Source organism: Homo sapiens, chromosome 10 (genome assembly GCF_000001405.40).
Source record: "Homo sapiens chromosome 10, GRCh38.p14 Primary Assembly".
In the NCBI taxonomy this organism is placed as follows: domain Eukaryota; kingdom Metazoa; phylum Chordata; class Mammalia; order Primates; family Hominidae; genus Homo; species Homo sapiens.
Genome location: NC_000010.11, coordinates 103,696,980 through 103,724,602, shown reverse-complemented (window position 1 = coordinate 103,724,602; position 27,623 = coordinate 103,696,980). Strand labels below are relative to the sequence as shown.

Genomic DNA, 27,623 nt, shown 5'->3' with positions numbered 1-27,623 from the left:
GTTGAGAGAAATGGATAGAAAGAGGGAGGGAAGGAAGGAAGGTTGGTTGTTTGATTCGTTATTTGATTGGTTGATTTGTTGATTAGTTTTCTGGGTGGACAGGTGGGTGGCTGGTTGACCATGTCTTCCATGGCTCAGTTCTTGAGCCTCTCTGTCACTGTTGGTGTAAGGTGACACTGTCTTGGTTTTCCTGTTCCCAAGTTCATCACACCTAATGCCCTTTCTTCCTGTCTCTCCACAGGCACTTGTCCGGCTGCCCCCCCACATCTCACAGTGTGACGAAGTCTTCCGGTTCTTCGAGGCTCGACCCGAGGATGTCAACCCTCCAAAAGAGTAAGTAATAGCTCAGGCCTCTCCTGTGTGCTGGGGAGGCGTGGGCTAAAGCAATGGCCAGCCTGGGGAGGCTGAGGCTGTGGGAACACAAGCAGAAGGTGAGCTAGCAGGGCCAGCCGGGCTAAAGAACAGTGGTCCAAAGGAATGGGGGACATTATTCCCCAGGCTCCTAGTGCCAGAGCCCACTCTTCATTTTCCTTTACCCCAGGGCTGCAGGGAAGAGTGTCTCTGCATTTGTGGAGCAGATTTTCCTACAAACTCTTTCTGGCTCACAGGGTTGTTACAAGGAGCAGATGAGATAACAGAAAATATAATGGTCATGCCATCGAGACCACTCAGGGCTAGCACAGTCCTTGCTCTTCGCTGTTATGGCTGCAGAGGTCCCAGTGTGCACTGCCCAGGATGAAAACTCACCTGCCAAATAACAGCAGTCCTGGGCTGCTACAACAGATTTTATAATCATCATAAAAAATCATAATGAATTTACCCAGTATCTTTTATGTATAGCATTTTATGATAGGCATTACCATATTCAATAGTCCTATTTACAGAGGAGGAAACCATGGCTCGGTGAGGTCAGGTGCTTTTCCCCCAGAGTCATGCAGATGGTTTGATAGGAGACAGGACAAAACCTGAACCTAAGTCTGTGGTTCCTAGTGGCCCAGTGCTGGCTAATGTTTCCATGTTTGGAGAGAAACAGGGAACCATGCAGGTCTTTTTTCTCTCTGAAATTGGGATGCTGTGGGTGGTGGTAAAGATGGCCCACTCAGCCATGCTGGTTTCTCACACCCAGGACCCGACTCCATCCAGATGGCCATGCTCTCTTGCTCAGAGCATTCTGCTCACCTGCAGTCCCCAGCATAGGTTCTCATTGGAGAGAAAAATTCAGCTCCCACCCAGGAGCTGGTGGGCAGAAGGCAGGGAGGGGTGTTGGGTAAGAGAGAGGGTTGGGGAGAGGACTTAAGGGGATGCTGATGAATCAGCTCACTCCATAGCTATCCCCTGGAAGCTTAAAGTACCGGATGGGTGAGAGAGAGGCAGATGGGGTGGCTACTACAGAGGGAAAGGAGAGAGTAGGACACAGGAACCCTCTGGGCCAGGTGGGGAGAGGCAGGGGGAACCTGGTGATGGGGAGGAGAAAGCCTGAAGATGAGGGTGAGCATTGCGTGGCTCTGGAGGTGCCATTCACACTGCACTTTCTGTGAATGTGCCCATGAGGTTGTAGAATATGTGGCCTGCACACCCATACATGGCAGTCCTGCCTAAAGGGACCCTTCTGTCTTCACGCATGCTAAAAGACTAATAGCCTGAAATAGCCTGGGCATTTCGAGGGAGGAAAAAGCAGCTCCGAGGCCCACCTGGCCTAGCAAAGACCATCTTCACTGATGGCTGCCTCAGGCAAGAAACAAGCACTGTGAACCATCAGGAGCTTATCAGTAGCTTGGTTCACAGCGTGAAGCAGTGGAAAGCCACAGGGTATAGGATGCAAAGTATTGAGTTCACGTCCCAGTTCTGCTGCTACTAGCTGTGTAATGTCCAGGCAGATCCCTCGTAACTTCCCCAAGCCTTCCTGTGGTCCCTAGTGGCTCAGTGCTGGCCGAAGTTTCTACATTTAGAGAGAAACAGGGATGAATCTTAAATTCAGCTGATTGAAAAAAAAAAAAAAAAAGCTAGGCATATTGGCTCACACCTGTAATCCCAGCACTTTGAGAAGCCAAGGCAGGTGGATCTCTTGAGCCCAAGAGTTCAAGACCAGTCCTGGCAACACAGTGAGACCTTGTCTCTACAAAAAATTAAAATTTAAAATGTAAAATTTCAGAAGAAAGAATAGCGAGAAATAGGGAACCATCTGTAAAAAGGGAATAGTGATTAAGCCCTGTTTTTGCTACCTCCAAGGGTTATCCATGAAACTCAGATGATGAGAGGTTTGCACCAGGGCTTGTATATTCTTTTTTTTTTTTTTTTTGAGACAGAGTCTCGCTCTGTCACCCAGGCTGGAGTGCAGTGGAGCAATCTCGGTTCACTGCAACTTTTGGCTCCCAGGTTCAAGCAATTCCCTTACCTCAGCCTCCCTGGTAGCTGGGATTACAGGCACATGCTACCATACCTGGCTAATTTTTGTATTTTTAGTAGAGACGGGGTTTCACCATGTTGGCGAGGTTGGTCTCGAACTCCTGAGTTCAAGTGGATCCACCCGCCTCAGCCTCCTAAAGTGCTGGGATTATAGGCATAAGCAACTGCGCCCGGCCAGGGCTTGTATATTCTTATCCCCACATTACAGATTACAAAACAGGAGCTCACAGCTAGAGCGGGAATTTGAACCCAGAACTTCCAGGTTGCAAGCAGAAGCCCACATTCATCTGTTTCTCCCACCTGCTTCACTGGTTTGGGGACTGTGGTCCTGAAGCTCCTCAGGATCTCCTTTCTGTCCCCACCTGTCTGCGCTCCTGCCCCTTCCTTCTTCATCCTTGCCTTGCCTCAGGGCAAGGGAAGGCTCTGAGCCTGGCAGCAGTATCCCTGGGTCCTCACCTGACCCGCCCTTGCCCAGCTGTGATGTTCTCTCCAAGCCTCTCATTTTCTGTCCTTGCATGGGGAGAGAGGAGATGCTCCTCCCTACGTGGGTGGCTGTTGGGATCCCCCGTGATCGTGTGCCTGGCCACGGGGGAAAAGGATCAGGATCGTTGATGGTGGAGGCAGCAGGTGTATCGCCACAAAAGCAGCTGACCCAGCCTGTGATCCATGCCTCCAAACCTGCTCTTTGCCAGTCAGCTGAATCCGTCGGCCTCACTTCATTCATGGCATTAAGTTAGCCTTTTGCCCACCTCTAGGAGGCCCTTGAGGAACAGTGGAAACCAGGCTCAGCAAGACACTTGGCTGTTGGGGAGGCAGCAGGCCATGGCTTTGTGGGGCCAGGCTCTGGGGCCAGGCCCTGCCACTTAAGGCTCAGTGATCTTTGGCCATTTGCTCAATGTCTCTGCATTTCTGTTCCCCTAAAATGAGATAATGCAGAACTCACGAGCTGGTCAAGAGGGTTTACTCAAATAACCCGGCCAGGTGCTACTGGTGCACAGGAAGTGCTCCACACCTGTGTTCATGGAAGGCTGGGGAACAGAATGGAATGTGTGCACGTTCCGTCCCTACCTGACTTTTGCAGGGAGGGGCTGTGAAGCATTTGGCCGCTCCATCACCAGGCCAGCAGGGGTTATCTGCCTCTTTCTTGAGGTGGTATTGGCCACGTGGGCCAGTTCACCACTGGTCTGGCAAGTTATGGGCCTGGGAATAGGAATGCCTCCAGCCCCAAGACAGGTCTGAGGCTCAGGAAGTGAGCTCAGCTGTGGCCAGGCAGTTCTGAGGGGCTCCCCCTCCCCGGGCCCGGCCCTGTCTCTGCTCCGCCTCCAGGACCCACCAAGAGAGACCTGTGTTCCCCTGCAGAGTGTGCCTGCCACAAAAGAGCCAGAGCTTGTCCATGACCCTCGGCTGACAGGCTGCCGACGTGTCAGCCTAGTGCCTGCACCTCCTCCCTCTCCGGCTGTTTGGACCTTTCCAGGCGACTGTGCACCTCCCTTCCCTCCAGCCTAGAACATAAACACGGGATCGAGTAACAGCATATTTTGACTCTGGGGCGACTGTGGAGTGGCTTATCAAATTATCAAAGCCTGTGGATTTAATTGGAATTTTGTAGATAACCCCTGGCTTCTTTCAAGTGTGCTGCTGCAGGGTCCATTGAGAATTCATGGGGGCTGGGGTGGGGGACCGTCTTCCCTTTCCATCTTCCAGAGAAGACAAGGTCTGTCACAGCCCAGACTCAGTGGGGGAGGTGGGCAGCAGGCCTGAGCGCCTCGGCTTTGATCCCAGGCCACTCGCTGGCTTCTGCAGGCGGAGAGCCAGACCCATCTCCGGTCAGTTAGTGGTTGCTCTTCCAGACCACTGGCCCTGCACAGAAAGGATGTTCTTCATGGACACCTTTGATGAGCCTGGCACAGAGCAGCCATGGTGGTTTTGCCTCCTCACACGGAAGGATAATGGGATTTGCGCCCTTATGAAAGAGGCTCCAGCAAGGCCCTTGCCCCTTCCATCATGTGAGGACACAGCATTTGCCCCTTCTGCCATGGCAGGACACAGCTAGAGTGCGCCATCTGTGGGGAACCAGCCTTCACCAGACACCAAATCTGCTGACACCTTGATCTTGGACTTTACAGCCTCCAGAACTGTGAGCAATAAATTTCTGTTTTTAAGAAATTACCTAGTGTGGCCGGGCACGGTGGCTCACGCCTGTAATCCCAGCACTTTGGGAGCCCAAGGCGGGTGGATCACCTGAGGTCAGGACTTTGAAATCAGCCTGGCCAACATGGCAAAACCCCATTTCTGCTAAAAATACAAAAATTAGCCAGGCGTGGTGGCACGTGCCTGTAATCCCAGCTACTTGGGAGGCTGAGACAGGAGAATTGCTTGAACCCAGAAGGTGGAGGTTGCAGTGAGCCGAGATCGCACCACTGCACTCCAGCTGGGTGACAGAGCAAGACTCCATCTCAAAAAAAAAAAAAAAAAGAAAGAAAAAAAAAAAGAAAAAGAAATTACCTAGTGTAAGAAGGTACTCTGTTATAACAGCCTGAACAGACTAAGACGCTTGCTGTGTTTATTGTTGGCCCCTCCCACTAGAACACAGGCTCCAGGAGAGTATGAACTTGTCTTTGTTCTGTTCACAGCTGTATCCCCAGCACCCAGAACAGTGCATGTCCCAGAGCAGGGTCTCAGAGGGTCTCTGTTGGATGAATGATTGTTGTCATTCAGCCCTCACTATGGTCTTACATGGTAAGTACGACTGTGACATGATTTTACCAAGGAGCTGAAGGCTCAGGGACATGAAGCCACTCACCTGAAGTCACCCAACTGGCAGGTGCAGGGCCAAGATCCAAGCCAGGCTGGCTGGCCCCAGACCTACGGTTCTAACCACAGCCCTGACCCAACCCATCACTCAGCTCACACCCACTACGCCTTCCCAACCTCGTCAGCACCCGCTCCCCACCTCCACCCCAGCCAGAGTAGGTGGGTACCGGCCTCAGCCCCTTTGATGTTTTCCTTTGAGGATGGTGTGTGTCAGTCTGTTCAGGCTGCTGGAACAGAGTACCATAGCCTGGGTGGCTTATAAACAACAGAAATAAAATTCTCACAGTTCTTATGAAAGAGGCTGGGAAGTCCTAAACCAAGGCACCAGCAGATTCAGTGTCTGGTGAGGGCCTGCTTCTTGGTTCATAGTCATCTTTACCCTGGTGGACAGGGAAACAAGCTCTCTGGGTTCTCTTTTATAAGGCACTGATCTCATTCATGAGGCTAATGACCATAGCCTAATCAGCTCCTACTATATCACCTTGGGCGTTAGGATTTAACATATGAATTTAGGTGGGACACAAACATTTGGTCCCTAGCAGTGTGTTCTTGGAAAGTCAGCAGTTGAATAGGGGTGTATGTGCGTGTGTGTGTGTGTGTGTGTGTGTGTGTGTGTGTGTGTCCTGATTGGGGGGAGGGAGGGGAGCAGAAAGGGAAAGGAAGAGTGTTTGCCTTATTGTATTGGTCACCTCCTCTGTAGTCTACATCATGCTTATTTAAATATTCATTTAAATATTAGGCCACCCACGAAGGTGATGTTATTATCCCCATTTAGCAGATGGGGAAGCGAAGTTGCTAGCAGTTACCTGACTTCCCCAGGCCATGCAGCCAAGTGGGGAGGCAGGCCTTGGAGCCTGGGTGCAGTTCTGTTAGGCCCCTCCAGCCCCCCAGCCCCCAGCCCTTTGCCCTGCAGTCATAAGGGGTCAATGGGCAGGGGTGGGCAAGAGAAGCTTGATGTAGTTTCTTGGTCTCTCCTGTGTGAATTGCTGGGGAGCCATGTGACAGCTTGGGATGAGGAGACCCTTGGTCACCAAATCCCAAAGAAGGCAGATAAAGACATGCCCTTGGCCCCGTGCGGTGGCTTATGCCTGTAATCCCAGCACTTCAGGAGGTCAAGGCGGGAGGATTGCTTGAGCCCAGGAGTTTGAGACCAGCCTGAGCAACATAGTGAGACCCCCATCTCTACAAAAAAAAGAAAAAAGAAAAAAAATGAGCCAGGCATGGTGGCACACGCCTGTGGTCCCCGCTACTCAGGAGGCTGAGGCAGGAGGATTGCTTAAGCCCAGAGTTTGAGGTTACAGTGAACTATGATTGCACCACTGCACTCCAGCCTGGGCAACAGAGACAGACCCTGTATCTTAAAAAAAAAAAAAAGACACATGGAAGCCACACCAAGAGACACCCTCTGTAGCAGCTGAGATGACCCCACTGTGAGCATGACCTGCCTCCTGGCACAGTGTCCTGAGGCCACTTTACTGACTCAGCTCCCCCTTGCTTTGCTCTGCCTGATCTCCTGAGAATCCCTTGCTTCCACAGGCAAGGCCCCTCACCCCCAGATGCAGTCCTCCCATATGGTGTCAACAAGGGCAAACAGGAGCTAAAGGCAGGCCCAAACTGGCCCGGCAGGACTCACCACGTGGTCAACTGCGTGACCCAGAAATGCCTCTTTGTGTTCCATTTTAAATTCTCATCCAGTGGAAATAAGGAATCTAAAAGTCTTTGAAACGAACGCTAGGAACTCTGTCTGTAGATTCCCAGGAGGATGCAGTTCTGGTGGGAGAAAGATCTGGCCGTAGGGCCCCAGGATCCACCTTTGCATCTCTGCAGCCTCCTGGCCCAGTGGCCACGCCCTCATTCTTTTCTTAGCTTGTCGCCAGCCTCCATGCTCTGCCCCATGGTTCCCTCCACCAGGAGCACCCTCCTCTCCTCCCCACTCGCTCTGGAACTGCATCCTACTCTGTCTCCAGACTCAGCTTGGGCCCCTCCTCCAGAAAGCCCTCCCTAGAGCTGGCAACCTGGCAGCCTTGGGATCTGTTTATGGATCTCTCCCCACCAAGGAACCCACATCTCTGGACCCCCAGGACCTGGCACCTAGTAAGTGTTGGGTGATTGCCCAACTGTGCCAAAATAAAGCCAGGCTATTTAATAGAGTTATACATTGAACTGCCCACCTCGGGGAGCAGAGCCAGGAGGATTCTCAACCTCTCCGGAGTCAGGGGGCCAGGGGTCAGAGACCAGCTCTGCCACTTGCCTCAGGCAAGTTGCAAGGCCCTTGTGTGCCTCAGTTTCCTTTATCTGTAGAGTGGGAATCGTTGCTGCCTCCAAAGGCAGTTGCGAGGATGATGCTTTAGCACACATAAAGTGCCAAACAAACCTGGCACGGTGTCAGCACTGCCAAGGCCAGTGTTTGCTGTCCCCATCATGGTGGGATGGGGACATCCCGGGTGGAAGCGCACAGCAGCAGCAGGCCCACATCACTTCCCTCCACATACATACACACGTTCTCCACTTCTGGAGATGCAAGGCTGCCTTTGCAGCCTCAGGGCTGAGGTTGCAGCCTTCTTGACCACTGCTGGCAGTCCAAGCCTGTGGGCAGGGTGGGCACACATGCCTTTGGTGCACCCATATCACAGAGGGGAAAACTGAGGCCAGGGCTGAGCTGATCTGCCCTGCTCTTGTCACTCACTTAGTATCTTTCTTCTTGGGCCTCTTACCAGCCCACTGGCCTTACCAGCCCACCTCTTACCCACGATGGGACACATAGTGGGCCCACACAGTGGGTAGACAGTCACCTCCCACTTCCTGCTCTCACCCTGGGCTTATCCCTTCGGCTTGTTTCTTCCTGCTGAAGCCAGCCATGATCCTGGTTAAATTCTTGACATTGCATGGGAGGAGCAGATAGCCCTGCTAAACTGGTTTCTGTTCTTCAGCCCAGGGCCACAGAGCCACCCTCTGTTGTACAGTAGAACAATGCCCCAATGTTCCGAGGGACCTGGGGTGAGAGGAGGATGGACTGAGGCCAGGCCAGAACCATCCCTGCCTCAGCCTGCCCATCAGGGGCCCCCAACACTCCCCATGGGGCAGAGTCCACCCCCAGTGTCCCTGCCTCCTGCGGGGAACCCCAGGGCAGGCCAAAAGGGGAGGCCATCCTGCGGGAGGCCTGCCCCAGCCAGAGCACAGGTTTGGGAACTGGGCCGGGCTGGTTAAGGTGGTGCAGGGGCTGGCTTAGGACACTGAGGGAGGCTGCCAGGGAAGGAGGGCCAGGGCAGAGGCAGATGCTGCTTGGGGCCTGGGGTGGGAGGAGGTCAGACTCAAGAAAACACTCTCCTCTGCATGACTTTCTCATCCTCCCCTCCCATTTATATTTTGGGGATGGTTGTTTCATCTTGGACTGCATGGTAAAATTGTGGGGAGTCCAGTGAGGGGGACAGAGGTTGTTGCTGCCATTTGCCTGGGAGAAGCAGAGCCCAGGAGGACAGATGAACTCTGCCAGCCCTGCTTCAGGGTTCCCGTAGGAAGACGAGGGGCAAGGTGGTGTGTGTGGCAGTGCAGCTGGAATAGCACTGAGAATGTGGGGTGTCTCCTCCAGGAGCCCCACATCCCCAATCCCAGTCGAATGCCAGGTCTGGCCTGTTCGGGAAGGCAGGGCGACTGCTCGGCTTATGTCTGGCTGCCAGCCTCTTGAGTTAGAGTCCAGGCTTCCCTGCTCACCAGCAGCATTGCTGTGGGTTGACTGCGTGGCCTTCCATTCTCTGTAAGTCACCCGGAGTCACTGCTCCGGCACTGGGGAGAATGAATTGGGATGATGCGTGTGGATCACAAACTGGGCACTGAGTCATACACCCTCCTACTCCCTTCCTTTTCCTAGGAGGCAAATGGAAGGTTGTGGACAGAGCCCTGGAACCTCTCCACAGCAGCCTCCCTTCACTCTGCAGGTAGTTACTGAGTGCCAGCTGTATGCCAGGGACCGCGTAGGCTAATCACCTCAAGGGTCAAAGCTGAAATTGTGAATTGAGTTAAATTAACTGCAGTGGCAACTGTGGGGACACCCAGCTCTGCCTGTGAGCTTGAATGGCTCACTTCTCCTCTTCCAGTCTGTTTCCCCATCTGTGCAAGGCCCCCGTGGTACATGTGGCAAAATGATTGTGAGGTTCAAGGGAGCAAATGCGTAGAAAATGCCCCTATGTACTTAACCCATCACAAAAGCTCAGGAAATGGGATTTTCTGTTTTTCTTCTCCTTTCCTCCATTAGCCCAGGCCTGGGTACAGAGCAGCCACCCCAAAAAGGCTGGGGGAATGGAATTGGGTTGGCCGAGCTGAAGGTGAGAGCTGGGAGAGGAGCATCTCACCGCATCCCTCTCTGCTCTGGGAGTCCTGGCCAGGGCTGGTGCTGCCTGTGGAGCGAGGCTGCCCCTACCACCCTGCAGGCTGTTGGAAACTCCAGGGCATCCCAAGTCCCTGTCTCTCCTGGGGGATTGGGGTAGAAAGTCCACCCACACATGCCTGGCTGCATTCTGGTCAGACACCTATCATCAAGATGGCTCTGTGTGCTCTGTAAAGCCCTGCCACCACCCATCTGGCCAGGGACGTGGGCCACACTGTCCTTGCAGCCCCCTGCCACTGGCTGCTGCACAAATAGCCTCTTTATGTTGATGGGCAGGAGGGCCAGCTGGACCTTGGAGCTGTGGGAGGCTGAGGGAGGGAACAGAACGTTAGATAAATAAACCTTGTCCATCCCCTGCCATGCCCCCTTCAACCTGGGTGGGCAGGTGGCAGGAAAATGCCCACAGGAAGCTGTGTCCAACCCACTTGAAAGGGGCATTGGCCGTGGGGAACAAGGACTTCTGCAGGCTCAGCTGTCATGCTGGGTCGGCGAGCTGGAGGGAAGCAGATTCAAACACCCCCAGTCCAGCCCAGCTCATAGCGCACACGCCTGGGAGGCCCATGTCCAGGGAGAGAAGATGACTCTGTTTTCAGGCCTGGCACAGGATTTTCTTCAGGGTGGGGAGGAAGGTGGCAGGGAAGGGTATCCTGGTGCAGGAGTGTGTGGGGGTAGACTGGGTCCCCCATTAATTTCTTGGGCTTGTGCATTCTATGTTCTCTGAAACCTCAAGACCCCCATGTGCCCACTCTCTTACCCCCAAGGAAGGCCTACAGAGCCCTTTGGAGCCTCTGGCGGAAGGGGTAAGCCCTGGAAGAGCGCTGAGGCCTGCTTTGCTGTTATGTTGTGTTCAAGGTGGGTCTTGGTTCCCCTGTGGTTATCACTACCCTCCATGTTCCTAGTCCCTGGGTAGTTACCCCTCCATGGGGAGTTTAAGGCAGAACTGAACCTAGAACCTGGGTCTTCGGCCACTGGGACCAGCCTTCCTCTGTTGCATTCTTGTGGGAGGCGTGTGTTCATGCAAGTGTTTCTAGATCATCTCTATGTGAGGCCCGGGACTTCAGAAGTAGCTCAGTCCCCACTCTCGGGGCCCTGGTGGTCTAAGGGGGAGGATAGCATGGCATGGGCCTGGCTTGCTTCCACAGGAGGCAGCAGACCATTATAGGCTCTGGCAAACCCTGGCTCCTCCCCCACCTGCTGTGTGGCCTGGGAATTATTTAAACTCCCAAAACCTCAATGTCCTTGCCTATAAAACAGGGCTTATAACAGCTGCTGATAATGGGGAAGACAGAAAAAGAACAACTGATTGTAATAGGTGCAGGGCCTTGCGCAGCAACAAACCAGCCTGCTGAGGTGGTCAGGAAGGCCTCCCTGAGGAGGTGGCATTCAGGCTGAGACTAAAGCAAGAGCTCACTACTCAAGGAGAGTGGCAGAGGAGGGCATCCAGGCCAGAGGGAGTCCCTGAGATTGTGTTTCAAGGATTGAAAGAAATTTCATCTTCCGTGAGAGTAAGGGATTTTTGGCTAGGGCTAGGCCAAGAAGAGATAGGCCTGAGGCAGTCATTAACAATCGCTACACTTCAGCATCAGGTAAATGGGCAGAACCTAGGGGTCTCTGGGCTATCTCCTGGCTCTGACATTCTGAGGTCCTAGCAGAACCAGTTGGCTATTGCAGTGGTCCAAGCATGCAACAGTCAGGATCTAGAGAGGGGCTGGATGGCTGTGGGAATGGGAGATATTCATAGACATAGTCCGAGATGAAAGGGACAAGCATCCAGAGACCTTGTGACTCCTTCCCCTTCACAGGCTCTGTAAGTTGGATCTTGAGGGTGGTTGGAGTTTGGGCACGTCTGTAACTTTGGGTCACTTTGAAGCCCTCGGTTCATGAGATACATGTGTATCTGGCTCCACCCCATGGCCATATCGGATATTACAGCTCCCAGCGTCTGGCTGATGCTGTACTAAAGCCGTGCTGGACCCTTGAGCATGGTTTATCTTGTTTGAGCATCCGTACAATCCAGGGAGGCCCATGCTCCTTTCTGCAGATGAGGGACCTTAGGCTGAGACTGGTTGACTTACCTCTCAGCTAGGAAGTGTCAGAGGCTGGACTCATGCCATTGCCCTTCAGCTCCAAGTCCACACCCCACACGGGGGTGAGCTGAGGATGAAGTGAGAAGCACCTGACCCTTGGCTGGGGCAACTAGCTCCAAATTTCAGGATGGGACCCTTCATCAGACAGAAGGGCAGAATAACTGCATCAGGACGCCATGGTTGCCATGGTCACCACGGGGGCTGAAGGTAGAGTTGAAGGCATGTGCCACATTTGGGATCTTTTAAGGGGAACCCAGGTTTCCTGCTGGGCCACATCCCTGAAAAGGTACAAGGTTTGCTGAGACTGCCAAGTCTGGTCCAGGCCCCCCAGGGCAGCCTGTTGAGACCCTTCCCCCAGCCTCAGGAGCTCCAAGGAGGGGCTTCCTATCCCAGGAGGGTTCAGGCCTCTGAGGAGGGGTGCTGCCTGGCTGGTACAGGCTCCTCTGATGGAACAGACACAGGGAAACCGGTTCTAGAAGCACTCAGAAAACCAGGTTTCCCGCTCCCAAACCACAGACTGAGCCCTTGGCTTCCCACACCCTCTCTCATGAATGGCCCATTTGGTCATGGGTCCAGAGGGCACGCAGATGGCTACGTGCAAAACCCCACCCAGGACATGTGGCCCGGAGCATGGCTCAGTGGTCAGAGCCAGAGGGAGAGTTTCCCCCAGACAGCTTTACTGAGGTATAATTTACATGCTATAATATGTACTTGTTTTAAGTGTACAATTAATTCATTGATTACTAATACTTTTACAGTTGTGCAACCATCACCACAATCCAATTTTAGAGCAGTTCCATCTCCCTTAAAAGATCCCAGAGGGAGGTTTTGGGGTTATTTTCTTTCCTTTTTTTTTTTTTAATTTTGAGACAGGGTTTCTCTCCATTGCCCAGGCTGGAGCTCAGTGGCACAATCGTGGCTCACTGCAGCCTTGACGTCCCAGGCCACCTCAGCCCCCAAGTAGCTGGGACTGCAGGCACACACCACCATGGCAGGATAATTTTTTTATTTTTATTTTTTGTAGAGACGGGGTCTGGCTCTGTTGCCCCTGCTAGTCGCAAATTCTTGGCTTCAAACGATCCTCCCGCCTCGGCTTCCCAACGTGCCAGGATTAGAGGTGTGAGCTGCCATGCCTGGCCACCAGAGGGACATTTTATATTCTTCCAAACTCCAGGTTTTGGAGACCTGTTGGTATCCCTTCCCTCTGCTCCTGTGTGAGGGGAGGACATGCCTGTTCCCAGGGACTGAGTCTCTGCCCCACTTGCTGCTGCTGTCATTTCTGGGCCCTCTGGTAGTTCCAGCTGCTACGCTGCCCTTGCACAGATTGCTCAGTAGCCCGGGGACGAGGTCTGCCTGGCCCTCCCGGTGCAGCTCTGAGGTGGACTAACCACTGAGTTGGCGCCCAGGGTGAAGGGGGAGGGTGTTCATCTCAGTGGGCACGTTCCCTGCGTATTGATTCCAGTGGCCCAGCTGGGTGTTCACTTTGAACTTCATCCCCAACCCCAGGTAGTTACGTGCCCCAGGTCAGTGGGAAGGCCACCTCAAATGCAATGCTTACTTCCCCCCAAACTTCTTAGAAGGCCAGTAGGTGCAGGCAACAGGCCAAGAGGCTGCACCACAATGATGCCCAACTTTCTACCCAGGGAAATTCCAGGTGTTCTGGCAGCTCAGCTGTTTAGCAGAAAGTGCATGAGGAGCTGATTATCAGCTTGGCTTTTTATAATCATTTTTCCCTCTTGGGATGCTCCTGGGAAGGAAGGTGGCAGAGCTGTTAAGGGAGGTGGCCTTGGACTCACAGGTGTAACTTCAGATCCTGGTTCAGCCCCCCACCAGCTATGTGCCAGGTGGGGCAACCGTTTTTTATTATTATTTTTAGAGACAAGGTCTCTGTCTCTCTCCCAGTCCTGGAGTGCAGTGGCACCATCACAGCTCACTGTAGCTTCAAACTGCTGGGCTCAAGCAATCCTCCTGCCTCAGCCTCCCGAGTAACTAGGACTACTGGCACATGCCACCGTGCCCCACTATTTTTTAAATTTTTTGTAGACATTGGGTCTTGCTATGTTGTTGAGGCTGGTCTTGAACTCCTGGACTCAAGCCATCCTCCTGCCTTGGCCTCCCAGGCAATCTTTTAACCCCACCTAAACTCACCACTTACTCACCACACCTGGGCCTGCCATCCCCACCTCTCACCCCAATACTGGGACGTCTCACTTGTGGCATATACCACAGAGGTAATTAAATCCTTAACATCCGGCTTCCCTGAGAGGCTGCACACACCCTGAGGGCCGGGACATTACTGCCAGGCATCTACCATATCCCTCGTGCTAGCTGAAGGATGGACACAGTAAATGCAATAAATGGAGAGGATGACTGTCTGTGGGCCTTATGTTCCCCCAGGAGTAAAATAGGGACCATAGAAGTGGCAGCATAGGGTTACTATGAGGTCTAGAAAGCTAATAATAGCTCAATTACTGTATCTCACCATGTGATGACATTCTTCTAAGCGATTTACATTTTTTAAATTATTATTATTTTTTGAGATGGGGTCTCACTCTGTCACCCAGGTTGGAGTGCAATGGTGCGATCTCGACTCACTGCAACCTTCACCTCCCAGGCTCAAGCGATTCTCCTGCCTCAGCCTCCCAACTACAGGTGATGCCCAGCTAATTTTTTGTATTTTTGGCAAAGGCAGGGTTTTGCTATGTTGCCCAGGCTGGTCTCAAACTCCCGAGCTCAGGTGATCCACCCACCTTGGCCTCCCAAAGTGCTGGGATTACAGGTGTGAGCTACTGTGCCCAGAGGACTTTTTTTTTTTTTGAGATGGAGTCTTGCTCTGTCACCCAGGCTGGAGTGCAGTGGCATGATCTCAGCTCACTGCAACCTCCGCCTCCCGGGTCCAAGTGACTCTCCTGCCTCAGCCTCCCAAGTAGCTGGGATTACAGGTGTCCACCCCCATGCTCATATTTTTAGTAGAGACAAGGTTTTGCCATGTTGGTCACACTGGTCTCGAACTCCTGACCTCAGGTGATCCACCCACCTTGGCTTCCCAAAGTGCTGGGATTATAGGCATGAGCCACCTTGCCCGGCCAGCCTACATGTTTTAATTCTCTAATTTTTGCATCCATCCTATGAAGTGGGTATAGTTGTCATTTCCCCCTAGTTTGCAGATTAAGCCACTGAAGCACAGAGAGGTCATGTGACTTGCAACGCCAATAACTGGCAAATATGGGCTAGAACCTCTTACCTATCCTACCCCTCAATGAAGCTTGGCAAGGGCTTAGCATGCTGCCCAGCATGCAGTCTTAATGAATGGTACCAGTTGTTACTATTGTTGTTGCCGAAGGGGCTGTGCCAGAGGCTGGCTCATTAGCGCCCACAAAACACGACTCATCTCTCAGCTACGTGGGTTTGCAGTTTCTGGAGTCATCGGAGCAGCCTCTCCTTCCATCCTTGCTGTGTCCCAGTGAGAGGCAAGGTGGGAGGGTTTGCCCCTGGTCCCAGGCTTTGGAGCTCAGTTCCCCAGACATCATCCAGCCCAGCCTTTGCAGGTTGTGCAGTCCAGAGAAGGGAAATGGTTGCCTGAGGTCAGAGAAACTGGATTAGCACCAGGATTTTTGGCTCCAAGTCCAGTGCTCTTTCTGGCTCTCAGAACTTTCCCAGCCGATTTCAAGAGCAACCCCAGGCTTGGAGCATTTGGAGCATCCCTGGTGCGGTGCCTGGGAGGGTGCCTGGAGGCCTGAGTTGAGCCCTTGAGAAGATCCCAGTAGGAGCCTGGCTGATGGACAGGGAGAAGGGACTGGCTCCTCTGAATGGCTCAGAGGCAGGAGCTTGGCTGTGGCCAGGTCTGATTTAATTTGGCAGAGGCAGGCTGCAGCTTAGACCAGGCTGTGCCTGCAAGCCAGGGAATTGAAGGTTAATTGCCAGGGGCACCTCTTCCTGGCCCCCACCCCAAGCAGGAGAGGGCACCCATGAGCCTGTCACCTGGTCTGAGACCCCTGGAGAACTGCAGTGTTGCCTCAGGAGCCAGTGGATGGGGGACATGCATTATCCCCATGCTGGCCCCCTCATGTGCTGGGCACGGTGCTAGGTCCTGGCAGCCACGAGGATCTTAATAGGCACGAGCAGGGGACACTTTGTGCTGCCCAAGACAGGAAATAATTCAAGGAAATTCAGGCATCTTGGTTTGGAATTTCCCAGAAGCAGATCTGAGGCTGAGGATTGCGGCTCAAGCAGTTTGGAGGTGACACTAGAAGGCATCAGTAAGGTGACACAGGGCAGGGAAGACAAGGCTGCCAAGCGCAGTGTCAACGAGCTTCATCTCGCAGGGACTGGCACCTGGCTGCAGGCTGTTCCCTGGGGGCAGGGGTGCTGGGGCATTCATGCACCCCTTTTCCCTCCCTCCAGGCCATCCCCAGACATAGCCGGAGGGAGCTGTCCAAAAAGCCTGTGTTTCCTACTGTGCTTAGGGTGACTGCCTGGGGTTTCCTGGTGCCCTTCTCCTGGGGAGGCCTGGGCTCCAACCTCCCACTGAGGGAGCCACTGGTTGGTGCTGCAGGAACCAGAGGAAAGAGCCTGGCAGCCGCAGGGAAGGTCAGGAAGTCCCCACCACCACCCACCCCAGCTTGGGGACCCGAGCTGAGGCCCTTTGTCACTAGCTGAGTTTCTGTAACGAGTGTGGAGACAGGACTGTGATTCACTCAAGGCCTGAGGTCGGCGCCAACAAAGGTTATCAGGAAGGCCTGCAGGGAGGAGGCCAGGCTCATGTGTCCCTTGTTCCAGAAGAGCCAGATCAGGGTACCAGAGACAGTCATTGAGCTTAAGGAGGCCAGGCAGGTCCCACACAGGTGCTCAAGCCAGGAGCGCAGGAGGACACTGGAAAGGGAGAGAGACTGTGGGGGCTGTGGGTGTGCAGGGAAGGCTGCCAGGGAGCTGGGCCTCCAAGTGAACTTGGGTGCTGAGGGAGGGTTTGGAGGCAAAAGGAGAGGGAGACAGCCTGGGCCAGGGTGACCTTGAGTGCAGGCTTGGAGATTTCCCAGCAGAGGAGGGCAGGAGGGTAGGAAGGTAGAGAGAGACACACACAAAAGCTCACGATGGTTAGGAGTCAGCTGGCACTGGAGTCAAATCCCAGCTCTGCCACTGGGCTAGTGACTTAACTGACTATGCCTCAGCTTCCTCTTCTGGGACATGGGAGTAATGATAGCATCTTCTTCTTGGTGGGTGGCTACAAGGATTAACTGAAATAATGTACATGAAGTACAGTGAGCAGCTGGGCCGGGTGGTTCACACCTGTAATTCCAGCACTTTGGGAGGCTGAGGCAGGAGAATTGCTTGAGGCCAGGAGTTCAAGATGAGCCTAGGCAACATAGCAAGACCCTGTCTCTAAAAAAATGTTTTTTAATTTAAAAATATTGAAATACAGCCTGGCGCGGTGGCTCACGCCTATAATCCCAGCACCTTGGGAGGCTGAGGCAGGCAGATCACGAGGTCAGGAGTTCGAGACCAGCCTGCCCAACACAGTGAAACCCCTATCTCTACTAAAAATACAAAAATTAGCTGGGCATGGCTGGCGGGCATCTGTAATCCCAACTACTTGGAGGCTGAGGCAGGAGAATCACTTGAACCCGGAGGCGGAGGTTGCAGTGAGCCAAGATCGCACCTCTGCACTCCAGCTTGGGCAACAGAGCTAGACTCCATCTCAAAAAAAAAAAAAAATTGAAATATATAGTGCCATGGCTAGCACATAGTAAGCACCCAGGGAGTATCACTTCCTAGGTACAAGACTCTGTTTTCAGACTTTAGCCCTGTCAGGGAGAGGGGTGAAGGAGGCCATAGACACTGTAGTCCAACTGCCAGAGGAGAGAGACACACGTGAGGCAATAGTGCAGGACATTAGCAAGAGCATCCAGGCTCCACTGTGATGCCAGGGTGGTTTCCATGACAACCAAGGTGATGTCACAGAGGACGGAGCACAGGAGGCCGCGGGCTGCTGCCATTCCGTCCTCATAAATAGGCAGGAAATGTACTGTCTGCACTTGCTGACCCATCTGTGACAATCAGGGATGACCTCCTGGAGGAAGTGGCACTTCCACTGAGCTCTACTCGGGGGGGAAAGGAGGGGAGAGCAGAGATGCAGGGTCTGCCTATCCTGCCAGGCAGGGATTGAGAACAGGTGGAGGATGCTCGGGATGGTGTTAGCAGCGTCTGACCAGCCTCTTGAGACCATCCGGCAGCCCTGAGCTTGGTTACTGGTTGTCAGGGAATTCGTGCATTTATTCAGGAAACACGATTATAACCAGCCCTGTGCTGGGCCTGGCAAGACACACACAGTTCCTGCTCTCAGGGAGCCTACTGTTGAGGGGAAGAAATAGACAACAAACAAGGCAATGGCAAAAATATAAAGGCAATGGTGACAGCCACACAGGAAAATAATCCAGTGCTCTGCTAGAACAAGGTTTGGGGGGGTGCCAGAAAGTGTATTAGGCTGGGAGCTGGGGCCCAGGACAGCATTGGTCCGGCATCACTGCCCCCAGAACTTAAAAAACCTCTGCTGAGAGGAGGCTGTAAAACCAGCCCTGGTGAGGCCAGGCCATCCTCAGGCTCCTCCAGTCCAGCCACTGACCCACTGAGCAGCCACACCAGCGGCAGAACCACCAGGAGGCAGCCCAGGAAGCTTGACAGCTGCAGGTGCTCTAGAGGGGATGCTCCATCACCATCGGAAACCACAGTGCATCTCTTGAGCATGTGGTCATGGACGCTGTGACACTGTGACCCACTGTGCGGGTCACCAGCCAGGTTTCTTCCTGTTGGACATTCTCATGCCAGCCCTGAAGTTGTGACCTCCCTAAGGAAGAGTCTAGAACTCAGTGATGTCATTTGGGTATTTCTTTCTTTCTTTTTTTTTTTTTTTCTTTTTGAGACAGAGTCTTGCTCTGTCACCCAGGCTGGAGTGCAGTGGCACGATCTTGGCTCTCACTGCAACCTCCACCTCCCAGGTTCAAGCGATTCTCCTGCCTCAGCCTCCTGAGTAGCTGGGATTACTGGTGCACACCACCACACCCAGCTAATTTTTGTATTTTTAGTAGACAGGGTTTCACCATGTTGGCCAGGCTGGTCATTTGGGTATTTCTGACCCTGAGTCTTTGCCTTCGTTTTACCTTTCTCTTCACCACCTACTCCTCATTTAGCTTTTCTGTCTGGATTTTATGTGTCCTTCTTAGCCACAAGGTGGTAAATGAACAGTGTGGTGGTTAGGATTTGAGCACTAGACTGAGCCAGGTTGGCCTCCAATCCCATCTGTATCCCTCACAAGCTGTGTTACTTTGGGCAAGTCACATGCTCTCTCTGATCCTCCATTTCTCATCTGTAAAATGGGGATAGTAAGGGACTCTGCCACACAGGCATGTAGTGAGGATAAAATGAGCTGATGTGTGTCAAGGGTTTAGTTTAGCACCTGGCATAATGTAAATGCTTGACAAATGTAGTGCTCTTGTCAATAATAGTATTAATAATAATAAGAGCAGCACTACCACTCCCACCTTTGGGTAAGAAGAGCTCACTCACGGTGGGGAGAACTGCTCAGTGGTGACTCCCACCAAGGCCTGGCCCACGCCCGCCCTTCCCTCCCCCTGTTTGCCACCATACTTTGGGGTTCATGGGCACAAGCCTGCTCCGGGACCTCGGGGGCTTTACCTTGGTGTAGAAGCTCAGGAGAGGTTGCTTGGTGGAGGATGGAGGTGGCGGCCCACGGCTGGCCTGCTGGGACCTGTAGTGGACAGGCTGGTGAGCAGGCAGGGCCCTCACTGTAGTTGCAGCTGAGCTGGCCCAGGAGCATTCAGGGTTGACAGGAAGGCAGCTGGAGAAGGCTGGGAGCATGGAGGTATTACCTAGGTATTACCTAGGGTTCCTGGATGGCCCCCCTGCTACAAGCAGGACACAGGCTTGTCCTGTGAGCCTGGAGCTGGAGGCCTCTTTGCAAAAGCCCAATCAGGGAAACTAAGGCACAGAGAGGGCTGCCACCACCCAGGTCATGCTGCCTGCTCAGACAGCCAGGCCTGGAACCCATGTCTCGGGCCTCACAGGCTGGGATGGCCCTGGTTTGGCATCTTACAGGACTCCTCCCTAGACCCCGTCCTTTACATGTATGCTCTGGCAGACCCTGGGGAAGCCCCCAGGCCGCCCTGCACCCAGGCTAGCCCAGGAGCCACCCATCCCTGGGCACACAGGCCCTTGGCCAGGAGCCCGTTTGTCCTGCGTTTTGAGTGCCTGCTGTGAGGAGCATGGCAGCCACTGCCCTCTGTGGAACAGGCTCATTAAGTCAGCCTCTTGGTCCAGCATCGAGGGGGATCCAGACTTGGCTGTCACTCCTGTCGCCTCTGGGGAGACCCGTCAGCCTGGCAGCAGCAAGGGATTCTGGGGGAATGTGAAAGTGATAACAGTCATTCAGATGGACCTGGAAGTCCCCAGCTCTGCCACCCCCAGTGCTGCCAGCCACCAGCCACCAGTGTGGTCTCAGCAAAGTGGCTTTACCCTGCAGAGCCTGGGTTTCTTCATCTCTGTACAGACACCCCAAGCCTTGCTCCCCCCTCCCCCTGAGGCCAGCCAGGCCCGTGTCCCTGCTTCTTCCCATGCTGCTCCTCCTCCAGTGGCCACCGCCCCCACCTTCCTGGCTCCTTCTCTCAGTGCCCTCCTTTGGCCAAGCCCATTCTGTCCCAGGTGGTTCTGTCATTTCCCCTGCAAGTCACAGCTCTTCCAGAGTCCCTCCCTCTCCCCTCTCGAGGGTGAACCAGTGCTGGCAGCAGGGCCCTGTGACTGGCAGGTGGAGCTGGAGCAGGTGGAGGATCTGTGTATGCGCTCCCTGTTACTGAGCCTGACTGTGCACGGGGGACTTTATGTGTATTAACTTGTTTATCCCCCAGCAATCCAATTAGGTGGATCATTTCAGTCTCTGCACTTTATAAATGAAGACAGAGACCCTAAATAATCTGTCTGGCAGAGCTGGGATTTGAACCTAGGCAGCTACACACACACAGAGAGACACATACACACACATGCACACACGCACCATGGGAGCCAAGCAAACCTTCTGGCCATACCATGTCAGAGTCTGGACTGTACTGTCCAATAAAGTAGCCAGTAGCCACGGTGGCTCTTTAAATCTAAGTCTTAATTAAACAAAATGAAAAATTCAGTGTTTGAGTCATACTGGTCACAATTCAGTGTTTGAGTGCTCAGCGCCACTGTGGCCAGTGGTACCATACTGGACAGGACAGATAGAGACTATTTCCATTACCCCGGAGAATTCTACTGGACAGCTCCTTTGAGGGCACCACTGTTGGGGACAGAATTGGAACATTCAGTGCTATTGGGGGTCAAAATCAGAGTGGGCTTTCTGGAGGAGGTGCCCCTTCCTTAGGCCTTGAAAGTTGTGAAACACTAGGCAGGGCAGGAGGGGGCCTGTGGTGGTTGCAGCACAGACAACCGAGTCTGCAGCCTTGCCTCCCATTGCAAGCTGTGTGACACCAGGCAAGTGACTTAAGCTGACTGAGGTGCATCTGTAAAATGGGGCTAACGCAGCTGCCTCTGTTGGGCTGGGCACATCTGGCTGCTTGGTGCTTGTGGGTTTGTCACATGGTGTCTAGGAAAGTCTGGGAGGTTCAGGTTCCTTCACTGTAAGAGGCGATCACCCGGGCCTCCCAGGGCCATGCAGGTGGGCTAGGTGTGTGGGAGGAGTGTGGGGCCCTCCGAGTCCTCTTTCCCACAGAGGCCAAGGCAGAAACAAGCACAGCCTGACTTTGGGTGGGCTCCTTGGCCTCCATGGGAAATAGGGAGCTCCTTGGCCCAAGCTCCCAGTCTCAGGTCGAAACTAGGCCAGGGCTGGGGAGTTAGGGGCCATCAGCCAAGGATCGACCCAAGAGGTCTGTGCTCTGCAGTGGGGCCCTGGTATCTGCCCGTGTGTCACACACACCCATACACACACGTGACACAGAGACCAGGCACATGTCTGCAGATGGGGCCAGTGTAGCTTGAGGGGCAAAGCAGTCCTCTGGCTCCCCCGACACAAGTCCTCACCCCACCACCTGAACAAGGGAAACCAGAAGGAGCTAGAAATGTGATCCTCAGGCACAGAGCTGGTGCCACAGCCTTCAGGGAGAATCTCTCTTTAGGAATACTGCCGCTGGGTTGTTCTCAGCAACTTCCTTCTAAAATCTGAGCTGCTTCCTCTGGGGCTCAGTCCAGCCCCAGCTGCCTGTCCTGCTCCCCCAAGACATACAGCCTTCTTGCCCTCCGCACCCAGCATGCACACACACACACACACGCACACACACAGGCTTACATCTGTTCCTGCCCCTGCACCGTTGCTCACACCATCCCTTCCACCCCAAATCTCCTTCCTGCTTCTGCTCTTTTTAAACAGTCTTCATCTTTCAAGGGCTAGCTCTAGTGCCCCATCTTCCACATAGCCCTCCCTGACCACCCCAGACCACTCTGATCTCCCTGTCCTGGAAATTTCTATACAGTGTTTCCTTTGACCAAGCTTTGGGGCACCTGATCACAAGGGAACTTGTATGTTGTCTTTTCGTGGGTGTTTGCCATCTCTTTCCAGCTAGATGGACAAAAAAATGAAAAAGAGGGCAGGACAGTGTGTCTTCTGCCACTCTCTTACTTCATACACAAGACTGGGTCTACAACAGACCTTCAGTCAAGATGTGGATGGATGGTGGATGAATGATGGATGGATGGATGGTGGATGGATGGTGAATGGATGATGGGTGAATGGTAGATGAATGATGGATGGATGATGGATGGATGGCTGGATGATAGGTGGATGGATGATGGATAGATGGATGGATGATGGTGGATGGATAGATGGATGATGGATGGTGGATGGATGATGGTGGATGGATAGATGGATGGATGGATGGATGGTGGATGGATGTTGGATGGATGGTAGATAGATGATGGATGGCTGGATGAAGGATGGATGGATGGTGGTTGGATGATAGATGGCTGGATGGTGGATGGATGGATGGATGATAGATGGATAGATGGTAAATGGATGGTGGATGGATAGATGGTAGATAGATGATGGACAGATGGATGACTGGATGAAGATAGATGGATGGATGATGGATGGTGGATGGATGGCTGGATGGATGATGGACGGATGGATGGCTGGATGAATGATGGATGGATAAATGATGGATGGATGGATGGCTGGATGAATGATGGATGGATGGATGATGGATGGATGGTGGATGGATGGATAGATGATGGATGGATGGTGGATGGATGGATGATGGATGGATGATGGATGCATGATGGATGGATGATGGATGGATGAATGGATAGATGATGGATGGGTAGTGGATGGATGGATGGTGGATGGATGGATGATGGATGGATGGATGAATGGATGGATGATGGATGGATGATGGATGGATGATGGATGGATGATGGATGGATGAATGGATAGATGGTGGATGGATGGTGGATGGATGGATGGTGGATGGATGGATGATGGATGGATGATGGATGGATGAATGGATAGATGATGGGTGGATGGTGGATGGATGGATGGATGAATGGATGGATGATGGATGGATGAATGGATGGATGATGGATGGATGAATGGATAGATGATGGATGGATGGTGGATGGATGATGGATGGATGATGGATGGCTGGATGGTAGATGGATAGATGGTAAATGGATGATGGATGGATGGATGGATGGTGGATGGATGGATGGATGGATGGATGGATGGATAGTGGATGGATGATGGATGGATGATGGATGGCTGGATGGTAGATGGATAGATGGTAAATGGATGATGGATGGATGGATGGATGATGGATGGATGGATGGATGGTGGATGGATGGATGGATGGATGGTGGATGGATAGATGGATAGATGGTAAATGGATGATGGATGGATGGATGGTGGATGGATGGATGGATGGATGATGGATGGACTTGGAGAGAGTCAGGGAAGGTCTTTAAATATAGGATATCCTCCTTGACCTTCTCCTCAGGGACTTCATTGTTGAACCCCATCACCCCATTTTGTCACTCCCCCTCCCATGGTTCCCTAGGTCTGGCATGTAGCCCCTGGAAGTCCAGGGAACCCCCATAGCCAAGAACAGTCTGGCATTTACACAGGGAGCAGGATCTCAGGTGGCCTGAGGAGGAGCTCCTAGCACTCCATGGCAGTGGGCTGAACTGGCAATCCCCTGCCCCATTTTGCCCTCTAAGAAATCAACTGTGTATTCCTGCCATCCTCCCCACTTCCCCTAACCCTGCCTCCTCCCACTCCCATGGACTGCTGCTCAGTGTCACCATCTAGGTGGGACTCCTTGGAATGCACCTGATGGGAACCCAGGCCTGTCTGTCATCATGGTCCTGCATCAGTGCCCTGAGTGACAGAGCCAGGGTCTCACACAGGCCACACTGAGAAGGTAGGCAGTCAGCACCTCCTGCATTGCGGCCACCATCCACACTCCTAGTCTAGCCCCCTGTGAACCCAGGCTATTGGGCTACGGGTCCTTTCCATGGGCCAGATGCCATTTAAGAGCTTTGCACATTATCCCATGTAATCCCCACGACAGCTCTGTAAGATAGCAACTATTTTAACCCCCTTTTACAACCGAAGGTACAGAGAGGTGAAGTCACTTGTTTATATCACAAAGCACTAGGTGGCTGAACCAGGGTTCTAACCCACCTGCCCTTTTAACTCCCTGCTCTGAGGCCTGGACATGGTAAAACTTGTCCTGTGGCTGAAGACACACTTAGGGCCTTTGCCCAGAATAGTGGAACAAGTCAGAGGAGACAGACAGACAGTGCTTTGTTCTTTTGCTGTGGACAGGGCAGCAGCAGAGACCCTCTGGGATGTTCAGGAGACAAAATGCCTGGGGGGCGGGGTTCTGGGGTCTATGATGGCCATAGCATCTGGCCTCTCTGGGATGCAGCCTGGGGAGCCCCAAGACCCCTTCTCTCCGCAGGAATTCAGCTTTTTCACCCAGGGCAGGAATTCCGGCCCCTCTGGACAAGCCACATGGTCACAATGGGGTCCATTCTCAGAACCCTGGAAAACACAGGCCCTGCGGAGAAAGGACAGATTCTTGTTAAACACAAGGGCCCTCAGTGCCACGATTTAGATCAGGGAGCAAATGGGGGCAGAGAATGGCCTGCAGGCCCCTCTGTCTGTCTTGCCTGGAGGTTGCTGCCTCTGGAGGCCATTCCGTGCAAAGGCTCTCAAAAGCCAGAACAAAAACCCAGCTAGGGGCTAAGGGGTGGAAAAAAAACCCCAACTCTCCAGACCTCAGTGACCCAAAGCCCCTTCGCCCAGCCCTTTGCTCAGACCTTCCTCACTTGGTTTCTGGAAGAACATGCTCCATCTCACTATGGAGGTTTCACAGATAATTCGAATTCTCACAATAGCCCTGTGAGGACACTCAGAGTAGCCTCCTGTTAGGACTGGGGAATCCGAGGGCTCCTGCCACAGTGGGAAATATCACACTGCAGCTCGATACGCAGACAGACATCTGATGCAGGTGCCACAAAACAGCCTTGCCAGGGGTGACTCGCTGATCATTTCTAGTCTGTTCTTCTTAAAATGCTCATTGGGACCATTAAATTGATTCTGAAACTCACTAATGGGTCACTGCCTGTCATTTGAAAAGCACTAGTTTGAAGTGGCTTGTCCAGGGTCACCAGCCCCTGAGGGGGCAGAGCTGGGCCCAGAACCCGGGTCTGTGGACATTCAGCACTGGACTTTGACAGCCCCTCTCCTGCCCCCAACCCCCAGCTGTCAACCTCTCCTCTTAACAAAATTTTCCTCCAGCCAGGATCTGACCAAATCACTCCCCAATTCTGCAAACTTCTGGATTTCACAGCCAGACATCAAAGCCCTGCTCAGCCTTGCCTTTCCTGGCCCGTCCACCCACTACCCTCACTGCCCAGTCCACAACTGTTTGGAGCTGCTTGCTCCTGCTTGTAGAGCTTTCCCCCTGCATCCCTCTATGGATCCAAACCCCCTTGTCCTTTAAGGCCTCCTCCTCCAGGAAGCTACCTGGGATGTTCTGTAGCCCCCAGGACCTCTCTTTTCTCTGCACTGAGTGTAACCCCTCCTGTAATTCTCAGCGTGGATTGTCTGAGAATGTTGGCTTTCTCGTTGGACTTATGTCACATATATCTCTTCTGCCTGCCTGCACAGGCCTTAATGAGGTTGCCTACAGCGAGAGCTTAAAAAGTGCTTTTAGGTTGATAACAGCAGTCAAAATCATTATGTACCTCAAGAGCCCCACGTCACTCCCCTGGCCAAGGTTGCATCTTCTCCAGCCCTCATATTCTAGATAGTGCCCATGTCCCCAGTGACTGCTGGGCTCTGAAGGTCACCCCCAAGTCAGCTGTCTGGCAGCCCAGCCGGCCTCTTGAGCAGTTCCCAGTGGCTGTAGGCCCCGCAGACAGGCATCCTGGGCCCAGCAGCCAATGTCAGCTGGCAGACAGAAGGGTGAGAACATCAGGCTGGAAGTTTGTGTGTGTGTCCTTCTCTGCCAAGGCACTTGCCAGTGGGAGGGAGAGTGGTGAGGGGTGTGGCGGGCAGTGGAGGGTACAACCCTGCAGCATTCAGCAGAACTCCACCTGGCAGGTACTCAGCACCCTTCCACAGAGCCGGCCCAGCCAGGCCCAGCCCCCTTTCCTCTCTCTCCCGTGCCTCAGTGGCTCTTCCTGGCTTCACCTCTCACTCTGGGAACTCTGAACGGCAGGATGGCAATCTCCATTCCCCAGCGAGGGCCTGCTGCCCGCTGCTGGTGTGACCTCTCCTTGTGGCCAAATCCCTAGTGGGCCTCAGCGTGGCCCCTTTGGAGCATTGTGGGTCAGGGCTGTCTGTTTAGCTTCAGGAGCCTGGGCCAGCCACTGAAGCCTCAGACCTCAATCTCCTCATCCATGAAATGGGTGAGCACCTGCTCTGCCTACTTCAGAACACCAAAGAATAAATCCTGGGAGTTTTCAAGGGGAAGGCAGAGTGTGGGGAGCCATGTGTCAAAACAGGGGAACAACACATGTGAATTGTTCAGTGCCTTTCCTGCCCCCACCAGCCTCTCCCTGTGCAGTCTCCAACACCAGCCATTTCACTAGAGCATCCGGGGAGGGAGCACAGCGTGTCTGGCCAAGATAAAATGAAAGGAAAAAAGAAAAACCCTTTCGGGTCTACATTAGCATAAAAATGCAAGCCCTTTACATCTCTTGGTTTTGGGGCTCTGAGAGTTGGCCACTCCTTGGGAGGTTAAATGTGTCCTAATAGAGGGGTCCAGAGGCGTGCGTCCATTCCTGTGGGTCAGGGATGAACACACTTCCTGGTGCTCGGCGCTAGACAGAGACCAGTGGTTGTTCTGGCATTTGCGAAAGCCCAAAACTCTGAAAGTGGGGCTGGAATCACACCTGCCTGGCACTGTCTGCCAGCATCGTGGTGAGGTCCTTAAGGAGAAGCTCCTTTTGTTTCAGGGGCTCTGTAGGACCCAGGTTTAAACAGGTCTTTGCCACCTGTGTAGCAACTGAGGTGGGTCAGATGGGCCCAGGTATGAAAGAATAACAACAAAGACAATTTATAGCAGTTTCTGTGCCGGCCACTGTGCGAAGCCCTTTCTACACACTGTACATTGCATCTTCCCCAAACCCCAGGGGTTTGGTGCTATTATTGTCCTCGTTCTACAGATAGAGAAGTAGAGGCTCAAGAGGCCAAGAAAGTAGATCAAGGGCACCCCCCTGCCCCCACTGCAAGCAGCAGGGATTTGAACTGGAGGCCTCCGTCTCCAGAACCTGCTCATCCAAACATAGCTTGCATCATCCTATGGGGAGGGGCCAAGAGAGGAACCGTATCACCCGGGGATGGGGCGGGGTGGGAGTAGAGGCCCCAGGAGTCCTTGTTTAGA

At 53.3% G+C, this 27,623-nt stretch overlaps 1 protein-coding gene across 2 annotated transcripts in view, besides 3 other annotated features; it reads left to right on the top strand.

The window, feature by feature from the left end:
* SH3PXD2A (SH3 and PX domains 2A) overlaps positions 1-27,623 on the top strand; it is a 261,550-nt gene that overhangs the window by 130,974 nt on the left and 102,953 nt on the right. For both annotated transcript variants that reach the window (NM_014631.3, NM_001394015.1), the window contains exon 5: positions 242-333. In NM_014631.3, coding sequence (NP_055446.2) covers positions 242-333 — 92 coding nt within the window. The remainder of the gene's footprint in view (positions 1-241; positions 334-27,623) is intronic.
* Positions 1,521-2,022: an enhancer, noted in NCBI's record as "NANOG hESC enhancer chr10:105482339-105482840 (GRCh37/hg19 assembly coordinates)". NCBI's record gives its function as "activates a minimal SCP1, AML or CMV promoter by ChIP-STARR-seq in naive H9 embryonic stem cells {active_cell/tissue: H9 hESC(naive)}" and the evidence as "EXISTENCE:reporter gene assay evidence [ECO:0000049][PMID:30033119]".
* Positions 14,968-15,946: an enhancer, noted in NCBI's record as "H3K27ac-H3K4me1 hESC enhancer chr10:105468415-105469393 (GRCh37/hg19 assembly coordinates)". NCBI's record gives its function as "activates a minimal SCP1, AML or CMV promoter by ChIP-STARR-seq in naive H9 embryonic stem cells {active_cell/tissue: H9 hESC(naive)}" and the evidence as "EXISTENCE:reporter gene assay evidence [ECO:0000049][PMID:30033119]".
* Positions 15,947-16,926: an enhancer, noted in NCBI's record as "H3K27ac-H3K4me1 hESC enhancer chr10:105467435-105468414 (GRCh37/hg19 assembly coordinates)". NCBI's record gives its function as "activates a minimal SCP1, AML or CMV promoter by ChIP-STARR-seq in naive H9 embryonic stem cells {active_cell/tissue: H9 hESC(naive)}" and the evidence as "EXISTENCE:reporter gene assay evidence [ECO:0000049][PMID:30033119]".